Consider the following 12540-nt stretch of genomic DNA (forward strand, 5'->3'; position numbering starts at 1 on the left):
TATGCCAGTGCTTACTGTGGCCAGTGCTTTTACATAAATTGCCTATATTCAATAGAACAATGCACTTTACAGATGAGAAACCTGAGGTTCAGAGTGTTTAACTGCCTTGAACAAAGTTACCTAAGTAGTAGAACTATAATGTGAACCCAATTCTGATTCCAAAATCCTTTCTCTTTTCAGTGTACTTTGCTACCCTTAGAAGGGAAAGATGACTGTTAATGTTTATTAAAAGCATTATATATGGCCTGGTGCAGTAGCTCACACCTGTAATTCCAGCACTTTGGGAGGCTTAGGCAGGCAGATCACCTAAGGTTAGCAGTTCGAGACCAGCCTGACCAACATAGTGAAACCCTGTCTCTACTAAAAGTATAAAAATTAATTGGGCATGGTAGCGCATGCCCGTAGTCCCCGCTACTCGGGAGGCTGAGGCAGGAGAATCCGGTTTGAACTCGGGAGGCACAGGTTGCAGTGAGCCGAGATCACGCCACTGCACTCCAGCCTGGGCGACAGAGCAAGACTCCGTCTCAAAAACAAAACAAAACAAAAAGGCCGGGCGCGGTGGCTTACGCCTGTAATCCCAGCACTTTGGGAGGCCGAGGCGGGTGGATCACGAGGTCAGGAGATCGAGACCATCCTGGCTAACACGGTGAAACCCCATCTCTACTAAAAATAAATATAAAAAATTAGCTGGGCGAGGTGGTGGGCACCTGTAGTCCCAGCTATTCAGGAGGCTGAGGCAGGAGAATGGCGTGAACCTGGGAGGCAGAGCTTGCAGTGAGCCAAGATCACGCCACTGCACTCCAGCCTGGGCAACAGCAAGACTCCGTCTCAAAAAAACAAACAAACAACAACAAAACCATTATAAATACCTTAACTCATTTAATGCTCATAGGCTCATGAAGCAGATAATATCTCCATTTTATAGGTGAGAAAACAGAAGCATAGAGGGGTGAATAATTTGGCCAGCTTTATACAGGCAGTAAATTCGTAGAGGCTAATTTTAAAGCCAGGCCTATATGCTATAATGGCCTGTTTTCTCTTTACTGTCTTTTATTTTCCCTCAACATTTGTTTGAATTTAAAACTACATGCTCACATATCTCCAAACTTTTTATGTCCCTAAGCAAAAATGTTTTTTAAATTGCAGGAAGTGAGAATAGTGTGAAGCTAATGTGATTCTGATTAATTTCAGTATTTTATATTGGAAGAAAAGTTACTATAGCAAGTATCTATAATAATTTGTATTATTGTACTCTGGTTTTCTTTTGGTGCTTTGGAGGAGGAATGTGAGTAAGGAAGAAGAGAACTGAGGGAAGTGTTAATCTTTGGTTAAGGATTTAAAAATTGTTACAGAATTTCATCTTCCCATTTTCACTCCTTCCCCCTTCCCAACACACACTTTTAATTTTCCCTTAGCTCCCTGAGAATTAAGAATTTACATTTTGTTGGGTCCTAACTTTTTAAAGATCTGATTAACAGTATGGATGCTCTTCCCAGAAAAGTAACACATACACAATTTTGTGTGTAATTTTAGGGATACATGAACCTCTGCATTAATGCATTAATATCACATAGCTTGTCTTGAAAAATATATTTTATTTATTTTTGTTTGTTCTTTGAGACGAAATCTTGTTGTGTCCCAGGCTGGAGTGCAGTGGCGCATTCTTGGCTCACTGTAGCCTCTGCCTCCCGGATTCAAGTGATTCTCCTGCCTCAGCCTCCTGAGTAGCTGGGATTACAGGTGCCCGCCATCACCCCTGGCTAATTTTTGTATTTTTAGTAAAGACAGGGTTTCACCATGTTGGCCAGGCTGGTCTCGAACTCCTGACCTCAAGTGATCCACCCTCTTCAGCCTCCCAAAGTGCTGGGATTACAGGCGTGAGCCACCACACCCAGCCAGAAAAACATATTTTTCTTAGAGTTAAATTTATAGTTTTTCCTGCTAAAAGTTGCCCTCAAATAATAATGTATGTAAAACTAGTCTATAATAAATGAATTACCACATACAGCTTGAGTGCAGTCATCATGGATGAGACAGATGACAGCTTCAGATTCCAGCCTCACACGTCAACACTTTCTACAATAGCATTTCACAATGTTAAAAAAGAACAAACTACTTTCCTGTTGTCATCCTCCTCCTTGCTGTCATCACTTTCAAACACTGTTGCTAAATGTTATGGACTGTCATTACTAGACACAGACATGCATGTGCGCGCACACACACACACAGATTCACTGTTAGATTATTTAAAAAAGCAGTTTTCATAGATAAAGCATGGTTTTTCTGTTTAGCTATTTCTCTCTTTTTTTTTTTTTTTTTTTTTTTGAGACAGAGTCTCGCTCTGTCACCCAGGATGGAGTGCAGTGGCGCGATCTTGCTCACTGCAACCTCCACCTCCCGGTTCAAGCAATTCTGCCTCAAGCCTCCTGAGTAGCTGGGACTACAGGCGTGTGCCACCACGCCTGGCTAAGTTTTTATATTTTAGTAGAGACGGGGTTTCGCCACATTGGCCAGGCTGGTCTCGAACTCCTGACCTCAGATGATCCACCCGCCTCGGCCTTCCAAAGTGCTGGGATTACAGGCATGAACCACTGCGCCTGGCCCTGTTTAGCTGTTTCTTTTTTTTTTTTTTTTTTGAGACGGAGTCTTGCTCTGTCCCAGGCAGGAGTGCAGTGGCACGATGTCAGCTCACGGCAACCTCTGCCTCCCAGGTTTAAGCTATTCTCCTGCCTTAGCCTCCTGAGTAGCTGGGATTACAGGCGTGCACCACCACACCTGGCTAATTTTGTATTTTTAGTAGAGACAGGGTTTCACCGTGTTACCCAGGCTGGTCTTGAACTCCTGAGCTCGTGACCCGCCCACCTCGGTCTCCCAAAATGCTGGGATTACAGGCGTGAGCCACCACGCCCAGCCAGCTATTTCTTAATGGCATTGGATTGTCTTATTTTCTAAATGAAATTGGATTATCTTGCCAGGCTTGGTGGCTCACGCCTGTAATCCCAGCACTTTGGGAGGCTGAGGTGGGTGGATCATGAGGTCAAGAGATCGAGACCATCCTGGCCAACATGGTGAAACCCCGTCTCTACTAAAAATACAAAAATAAGCCAGGTGTGGTGGCACGTGCCTGTAGTCCCAACTACTGGAGAGGCTGAGGCAGGAGAATTGCTTGAACCTGGGAGGCAGAGGTTGCAGTGAGCTGAGATCATGCCACTGCACTCCAGCCTGGCAACAGAGGGAGACTCTGTCTCAAAAAAAAAAAAAAAAAGAAATTGGATTATTTTATGACCATTTTCTTCTCCCTGCCTTCTCTCTTTCATCTAAAGAAATATTAATGACAGTTTGTCTTTAGAGGAAGTCTTTCCTTCTCTAAACTAGCATACTGACAAGACATAGTTCAGCCACAAGTTACGGTAGGAGATGCACTTGGGTCATACAGCCTCCCAATGCACAGATGGTGACTTTTCAGTACCATCTGTTCACTGTTTCTGTACAGCCATTTACAATTTCTCCCCCTCTATGAGGGCTGAATAGAAAAAAATAGAAAAGTAGTCAGACCTAGTTTTAGAGTTCCTGGAAATTAGCTATTCTTTCCCCTCACTTTTTCCTACCATCCAATAAAGGTTATGGCTCTTCATTCTAAATATTTCAGTCATTAGTTTACACAGACCCTTATTTGATATTTATTGGTGCTAAGTACTATGTAATTCACAAGTAACAGAAGAACACATTATGTTAGTCTACTGTGTATGCTTGAAAAAATAATCACATAAAGCAATCTGTTCTTTTCCTTCCTTTAACTTTGTAGAAGATACCTAAATAATCTACTTATTCCTTATAATTAAAAGCTGAATCGGCTGGGCGTTGTGGCTCATGCCTGTAATCCCAGCACTTTGGGAGGCCGAGACGATTAGATCACCTGAGGTCAGGAGTTCGAAACCAGCCTGGCCAACATCGTGAAACCCCGTCTCTACTAAAAATACAAAAATTAGCTGGGCATGGTGGCACCTGCCTATAATTCTAGCTAGATAGAATTGCTGTAACCCAGGAGATGGAAGTTTCAGTGAGCCGAGATCGCACCACTGCACTCCAGCCTGGGTGACAGAGCGAGACTCCATCTAAAAAAATTTAAAAAAAAAAGCTGAATCATTGGCCACTTCTCTTGTTGAAGGCACCTAGTATTTTTCTGATATTAAACAGATGGAAACATAATAGTTGACATTTCACCCTGCAACATGCGTAGTGAAGAATGCTAAAAGCAGGCAGAAACATAGTTCCTGACCTTGGCAAATCCTTTCTAAATTTTTCTTTGTGAGCTTTTTGTCCTCTTCATCTCCAGACAAGACCTTTGCTTGCTGGAGGGGAGAAAGATTCACTTTAGACTGTCTAATTGTCACGTTGTAATGCACAAATAGCATTCCACTTGTACTACATCATAGGAGAATTTTGACTTGTGACTAAATAGAAGACTCAAGAAGAGAAATGACTGAATGGTATACTTACTTTTGCCCTATGGATTTATTTGTAAAAGAACAGGATCTATTAAAATGTATAAGGTAGGGCCATGTGCGGTGGTGCACGCCTGTAATCCTAGGAGTTTGGGAGGCTAAGACAGGTGGATCACTTGAGGTCAAGAGTTCGGGACCAGCCTGGCCAACATGGTGAAACCCCGTCTCTACTAAAAATACAAAAAAATTAGCCAGGCATGGTGGCATTCACTTGTAATCCCAGCTACAGTAATCTCAGCTACTCAAGAGGCTGAAGCAGGAGAATCACTTGAACCTGGAGGGGGCAGAGGTTGCAGGGAGCCGAGATTGCTCCACTTCACTCCAGCCTGGGCGAAAGAGTGAAACTCCATCTCAAAAATAAATACATAATAGTAATAAGGTAAAAAGTTTGCTTAAATACTGTCTTAGAATTATTTGCCCATGTTTGTTCTTTTTTTGGTGGGTAGTCTGATGTTGACATTGTAGAACTTGCGAGGCTTCCCATTTTTCTCTAGTCAGATGTTTTCCTTTCCCTTAGTCCTCACGTTATTAAGACTACTTGTGTCATAATCCTGTATGATTATTGATGTGAATGATGTTTTCTTCTAAGCTTCAGAGTAACTTTGCTTCTTAACATTCTTTGTATACTATTCATATTTTAATATTTTTATCTTCCTTTCTACTTACCAGTTTTCTAATCTTTGCCATCCTTTTTATTTACATTTCCGAAGCAAGAGCTATCATTTTTGTTGGTTATTGGAGTCAGTATAGGTTATAAGTACTTTTTGGAACTCTTCTAGGTAAGATTCAGTGAAACTTTGGAAAATGTGTGATAAAAATTATATGAAAGCTATGGCAGGTGCCAGGGGTATTATATATCCTTCTATGATTTCCACTTTGTTGGTTTTTTTCTCAGGGGTTGGGGGGCGGGGGGACATGGTCTCACTCTGTTGCTTAGGCTGGAGTGCAGTGGTGCAATCCTAACTCACTGCAGCCTGGAACTCCTGGGCTCAAGGGACCTTCCTGCTTTAGACTCTCCTGTAGCTAGGATGACAGCATGCATCACCACCCCTGGCTAAGTTTCCAATTTTTTGTAGAGATGGCGGTCTCACAAAAAGACCCCAGGCTGGTCTCAAACTTCTGGCCACAAATGATCCTCCTACCTCAGCCTCCCAAAGCACTGAGATTACAGATGTTAGCTACTGTGCCCAGCCCTGAACCCCACACTGACTCATACTGTTATCCTTGAATTGGACTTGATTGCTAAAATTTAAGAAATCAGATAGTTTCTGTGCTCATTTTATAAGTTGTATATGCTTTTATCTAAGGGTCTAGTTTGAGTTAGGTTTTGGAGCCTCCACTGTTTACAGTGAACCGTTGTTTGGTTATGCTGTTTGTTTATATTGGGGTAATTTCATTCTTTAAAGTAGAATGATCACGGATTGATCTTAAAAAAGTGGTAGTATCCATTTCTCCAGAATTCATACTCAGCTGATTTGGTTCTTTTTAGTCTTTAGAATATAATTGTTTTTTGAGTTTTTATTTTGTTTTATTTTTGAGACAAGGTCTCGCTTTGTCACCCAGGCTGGAGTGCAGTGGTGCCATCTTGGCTCACTGCAACCTCCGCTTCCTGGGTTCAAGCAGTTCTCTTTTTTTTTTTTTTTTTTTTTTTTGAGACGGAGTCTCGCTCTGTCGCCCAGGCCGGACTGCGGACTGCAGTGGCGCAATCTCGGCTCACTGCAAGCTCCGCCTCCCGGGTTCACGCCATTCTCCTGCCTCAGCCTCCCGAGTAGCTGGGACTACAGGCGCCCGCCACCGTGCCCGGCTAATTTTTTGTATTTTTAGTAGAGACGGGGTTTCACCTTGTTAGCCAGGATGGTCTCGATCTCCTGACCTCATGATCCACCCGCCTCGGCCTCCCAAAGTGCTGGGATTACAGGCGTGAGCCACCGCGCCCGGCCTGGGTTCAAGCAGTTCTCATGCCTCAGCCTCCCAAGTAGCTGGGATTACAGGTGTGCACCACCATGCCTGGCTAATTTTTGTATTTTTAGTAGAGATGGGGTTTTGCCATGTTGGCCAGGCTGGTCTTGAACTCCTGGCCTCAGGTGATCCGCCCATTTTGGTGTCCCAAAGTGCTGGGATTACAGGCAGGAGCCGCCGCACCTGGCCTTACATAACTGAATGTTAAAGTTTGATGAATTAAGTATAATAGTCATATAATTCTTACTCTTTTCTTTTAAAATTGCTTTTAATAGCATACTACCTTTCTTTACTTATTCTGTCCAGGCTTTCAAGTGTAGCACTCAAAACAGATGAATAGTTTTTCCTTTAAAGAGGGGTCATATACTTGGGGAGAAGTTTCAAGGTACAATTTATAATGATTTACCTAACATTCAACACATGTGCTTTTTGTTGTTTTTGTTTTTTTTTTTTTTTTGCTTTGAGGGTTTGTTTTTGTCTTTAAGCATAGCATAATGTCCTGTTTTATTATGATTTCATCTGAGAAATTCTGCTCAGATGAAATTTCTTACCTTTCCTTTGGGGAGCAGGCCTCCCAAGAGCAATATGCCTGGATTTCAGCCTTTGCTCACCCTTGGCCAAGCATTCTTGTGCAGCAAACAACATGGAGCACCCTGCATGGTACACATTCAGATTCTGAACTTTGTACTAATTTGGGATTGTTTTGAAAAGTGTGTAACAGCAAAAGTAACATACATTTAATAAAAACTATGTATATCAAAATTCTAAAACTAAAAATATAGCAGAAGAGATAAAATAGTGTTTCTGTTGCAGAATAGTATGAAAACCTGATGAAAATAAAATTTTTACTGTAAGTATAGTATTTAAAAATTACTGGCTAGTTTATATTTTTATATAATACTTTACATTAAACTTTATTGAATTAATAATATCTATCTCTCTATCTATCTATATATTCTTTATTTTTGGATTGAGAAACATTAGCTTATTTGCCATAACATTTAGAGCATTCTGATCCTGTAATTAATGTGTTAGTATGTCATACAAATAATTGTCTAATGCTTTGTCTTAACAGTTCTGTACATCTTGTAATTAAGCTTTCGGTTTTTCCTACTTCCTCAGGTACTTTGGTCTAGGAAGCCATATGGTTCGTCTCGAAGTATCGTAAGGAAAATTGGTACTAATTTGTCTCTGATTCAGTGTCCAAGAGTTCAGTTTCAGGTATTATATTTTATATATTTTAAGTATTTTATTAATATGTACATTAGAAATATAAATAGGCAAGATGGTTTTAAAAGCATTTTGTTTTTGAGACTTTTCACCAATTGATGCCACTATCAATACAATAGAAGAGGATTAAAAACCACAGTAAAGCCTTTCTAATTTTAGTTTCTCTGTGACGTGATTGAGATTTTTAAGATATTTATCCTTCTTAAGGATGCATATGTGAAGATTTAGGAGCATATAATAAGCTAAGCAGTTGTTAATTCCTAGGTGACCTCAAACATAGGCTTTATATTATTCCAGGTGCTTCATGTACCACCATTATTTTTCTTCTGTAATTATACCTTCCTCTTTGGATAGCCACTCTGTTCCCCTGCTTTATTTTTAGATCTCTGTGGATGCCATATAAGTTGCTTTCCGTCATTGGTTTCAAGATCAGCATTAATTATAGGATCCATTGCCTTGGCAATGACAGTGTCAAGACAAAAAGGTAATTGTGGTTTTCGCAGTGAGGTGATAGTCAAACCGTGAATCAGGAGAACTTTTGAAAGTCTTAGTCTTAGAACTTTTGAAGGTCTTAGTACAGTATTCTCTTTTAGCACCAAATCTGGAGCAACTCTACTCTTTGCTTGGAGATATTGCTATTTTCCTTGATTTGTACTTTTGTTTCTTTCTTTCTTTTTTTTTTTTTTTTTTTGAGATGGAATCTTGCCTGTTGCCAGGCTGGAGTGCAGTGGCAGGATCTCAGCTCACTGCAATCTCTGCCTCCTAGGTTCAAGCACTTCTCCTGCCTCAGCCTTCCAAGTAGCTGGGACTACAGGTGCACACCACCACGGCCAGCTAATTTTTGTGTTTTTAGTAGAGATGGGGTTTCACCATGTTGGCCAGGATGGTCTTGATCTCTTGACCTTGTGATCTGCCTGTTTCGGCCTTCCAAAGTGCTGGGATTACAGGTGTGAGCCACTGTGCCTGGCCTTGTTTTCTTATTGTTATTATAGTATTAGACATTTATCACATAACTTTGTTCTTTTTTTTAGCAATTCTTTACAACCATAATGTAAGAACATTTCAGTTCAACATTGAATAATATAAAATTCAACAGATATCTCTGCCACTTTTAAATAATAGATTAACATGTGGAGATGTGGAAGATGTATTTAACTCATCATTTAGAAATTCAGAAGTGCCCATGTGTACCCGTTTGATAACATGTCATGTTCTTAAATCACTCCTCCTGGTAAATGGAGGTGAAATCTGTTTCTTTTTCTTTTTTTTTTGGAGACAGAGTCTTGCCCTGTGATCTCAGGTGATCTGCGCATCTCTGCCTCCCTAAGTGCTGGGATTACAGGCGTGAGCCACTGCACCCGGCTGCCTTTTTTTCTTTTTAATAATCAAAATGAAGAAATCTGTGGTAGTAAGTCTCTCAAGTACTTTCCAAGAATTCAATTCATTTAGACATGAACTGCTCTTATTTGCCAGTTTCCTTCAAATAGCTATTATGTTAACTAAGTTTTATAAACTTTTTTCTGATTGTTCAATTCCATCAATGTCTTTCTGGTTAACTATCTTACCTCCCTCCTAGTTCCAGGAAAATGTGCTTCAGCGTTTGCATTCATATAGCTAGAGACGTAGAGATATCTAACGTTTTCTGATTGCAACCCCCAGGTCTGCCTTGACAGTCAATGGACTGAAGTACTAGAGTCAAGTACATTTACTTGGGAGAATTCTTTTTCTCGATGTTATCAGTCTTTTAAAAGGGTATGAGCAGAAAAAGAGTATTAGATTTAACTAATTTTAACTGCATTTGAAAAAAATGGATTAACATAAGGAGAAGAGTAAGGTACGAGAAACATTGATGACCTACTTGAGAATGTAGTGAGAGACGGAAGCCATTTGTTTATAGTTATAGATTTGTATTTCCAGTTATATTGAGTCTTTTTTTTTTTTTGAGACTGAGTTTCGCTCTTGTTGCCTAGGCTGGAGTGCAATGGCACAATCTCGGCTCACTGCAACCTCTGCCTCCCAGCTTCAAGCAGTTCTCCTGCCTCAGCCTCCCGAGTAGCTGGGATTACAGGCATGTGCCACCAAGCCTGGCTAATTTTGTATTTTTAATAGAGATGGGGTTTCTCCGTGTTGGCCAGGTTGGTCTCGAACTCCCAACCACAGGTGATCCATCCGCCTCAGGCTCCCAAAGTGCTGGGATTACAGGCGTGAGCCACCGCACCTGGCCCATACTGAGTCTTTTAAAATTCAACATCGGTGTTAAAGTGTTTTGTCTTGTGGCCAACACCTACAATCCCAGCACTTTGGGAGGCTGAGGTGGGTGGATCACCTGAGGTTGGGAGTTCGAGACCAGCCCGGCCAACATGGAGAAACCCCATGTCTACTAAAAATACAAAATTAGCTGGGCATGGTGGCAGGCGCCTGTAATCCCAGCTACTCAGGAGGCTGAGGCAGGAGAATGGCTTGAACCTGGGAGTTGGAGGTTGCTGTGAGCCGAGATCGTGCCAATGCACTCCAGCCTGGGCAATAAGAGTGAAACTCTGTCTCAAAAAAATAAAAAGCATTTTGTCTGCTACTTAAATGTTTTACATATGCTATCATCCTTCTGTATCTCCACTGCTTCTTTGTTTATCAGAAATATAAAAGATGTAGTCTTCAAAATGTATACAGGAGGCAGTTTTGAGTAAGAAAATTGAAAATGCATTTTTTTCCCCTATTTTTGTAGCTCATTTAGGGGCTAACTGATGTGGAATATATCCAGGCTATCTGGAGTCCAATGTGGGTAAATATTATTATTGAAAGTCTGAGACTGAGAGTCTAGTATGGGGCACAGGGCAAGTGGACATCATTATACTGAGACCATATCCAAGGTGAAGTGGATTAAACTGAGAACAGGACAGTCATACAGTCAATTCAGAATAACCTGGGTTGGGAACTTGGCTGTGTGGTTATAGTAGTTTGAATACCAACTCTATTGGGTAATTTCACATTTTTCTCTCTGGTAAACCTAACCCAAGCTATTTTCTTGGACTGCAAGGAGTGGTTTTTGGAATTGGTGGTGGAAAAGGACTGTTTAGTAACCAAAAAAGTAATGAATGAGATTCCAATTAAAGCTCACACATGGTGATTAAATCTGGAAGTAAAATGGCCATTTGTTATGGCACATCTTTATATAGCAAGTAAACCTGAAATTCATATTTTATGCTAGGTGTTGGTATTGAGTGGTGAATGAAACAGCATGTATGTCTGCCCTTATTGGTTATATGATTCAGTGGGAGAGATATTTAAAAAGTCAATATGCTAATAAAGGTATAATTATCATTTGTAATAAATGCCATATAGTATGAAGTAGTATAGCATGGGGGAGAAGATCAGGAGTTCTCAGGGAAGGTCTCTCTAAAGGAATGACAATTAAGGATTACAAAGAGCCTGCTCTACAGGGTTGAGGAGACAAGTAGAGGTTGAGGGAGTCATTGTGTGCAGACAGAATAGCATGTGTAGAGATCCTAAGGCCAGATAGAAATTGAGGAACCAAGAGAAGGTTCCAGTCAGTCAGGAACTATTAAAGTGGGAGACGTAGTAGTATGGTATAGTGATCTTTGAACATCTGAGCTGTCTGAAGATGCATACCTGGATTAATATGTAAAATAACTGTTAAATTTAACCGTGTGTTTCAATAACTACTAGATAATTTGGAATATGCTAGCATGTGATGTCATACTGTATATGATGTTCATTTTTTATTTTTAGCTATAATTTTATAGTCAGTTGGCCCTTAAAGATTACTGAATCCAGCAACAAATAGTATGTTTTATAAATTTTGACACTGTGGAGCCCAGCACAGTGGCTCGCACCTGTAATCCCAGCACTTTGGGAGGCCAATGCGGGTGGATCACCTGAGGTCAGGAGTTCAAGACCAGCCTGGCCAATGTGGTGAAACCCCGTCTCTACTAAAAATACAAAAATTAGCCAGGCATGATAGCAAGTGCCTGTAATCCCAGCTACTCAGGAAGCTGAGGCAGGAGAATCAGCTTGATTCTTGAACCTGGGAGGCGGAGGTTGCAGTGAGCCGAGTTCATGCTACTGCACTCCAGCCTGGGCGAAAGAGCGAGACTCCGTCTCAAAAAAAAAAAAAAAAAAAAAGGCACTGTGAAATAGTAGTTTTGAGACTAACTGAGTATGGCTGGGCACGGGGTGGCTCACACCTATAATCTCAGCACTTTGGGAGGCTGAGGCGGGCGGATCACCTGAGGTCAGGAATTTGCGACCAGCTCGGCCACTGTGGTGAAACCCCATCTCTACTAAAAATACAAAAATTAGCCGGGCGTGGTGGCAAGTTCTTGTCATCCCAGCTACTTAGGAGGCTGAGGCAGGAAGAATTGCCTGAACCCGGGAACTGGAGGTTGTAATGAGCCAAGATCACACCACTGCACTCCAGCCTGGACGACAGAGCAAGACTCCATCTCCAAAAAAAAAAAAAAGTAACCAACAAATGTTTGTGGCCATTTTATTCATCTCAGGCAGTTGATCTCTTAAAAGTCTTGTATTTCCACAAGGATACTGCTGCTTACCCTTAAAGATTATTTTCAGAAATAGACACATTTTCCTCCCTCTGGTGGCTTTGTTCTCTTGCCTTCTACTATTCTAAGTGTGTTACGTATAGAAACTTTTAATAAATGTTCACTTAAAATAGTGACCATGCAAGAGATACATTTACAACATGGTGACTATAGTTAACAGCAATGTATTGTATATTGAAAATCACTGAGAGAGTAGATTTTAAGTGTTTTCACCAGAAAAAATTGAATTGGAGGTAATCCAATTCAGTTGAACCACTGCACATATTTCA

The 12540-nt window shown here is 40.9% G+C and overlaps 1 protein-coding gene across 30 annotated transcripts in view, besides 1 other annotated feature; it reads left to right on the top strand.

Annotated features, from left to right (window-relative positions):
* Window positions 1-12540, top strand: part of MTFR1 (mitochondrial fission regulator 1) — a 134710-nt gene that overhangs the window by 30878 nt on the left and 91292 nt on the right. For 24 of the 30 annotated variants that reach the window (NR_182100.1, NR_182103.1, XM_006716484.3 and 21 more), the window contains one exon: window positions 7587-7685. The exons of 1 other annotated variant lie outside the window; for it this stretch is intronic. Coding sequence is in view for 25 of the 29 variants with exons in the window: in XM_006716484.3 (XP_006716547.2) it covers window positions 7587-7685 (99 nt within the window). In the remaining 4 variants the exon portion in view is untranslated. Of the gene's footprint in view, window positions 1-7277; window positions 7315-7586; window positions 7686-8005; window positions 8179-12540 lie in introns of those variants that run through there. 5 more of the 30 variants (NR_182102.1, NM_001413079.1, XM_011517628.3 and 2 more) reach the window with 3 other exon arrangements.
* Window positions 11085-11285: a silencer, noted in NCBI's record as "peak7054 fragment used in MPRA reporter construct". NCBI's record gives its function as "represses an SCP1 promoter by STARR-seq MPRAs in K562 erythroleukemia cells {active_cell/tissue: K562}" and the evidence as "EXISTENCE:reporter gene assay evidence [ECO:0000049][PMID:32103011]".

This window comes from Homo sapiens, chromosome 8 (genome assembly GCF_000001405.40).
Source record: "Homo sapiens chromosome 8, GRCh38.p14 Primary Assembly".
NCBI classification, from domain to species: Eukaryota; Metazoa; Chordata; class Mammalia; order Primates; family Hominidae; genus Homo; species Homo sapiens.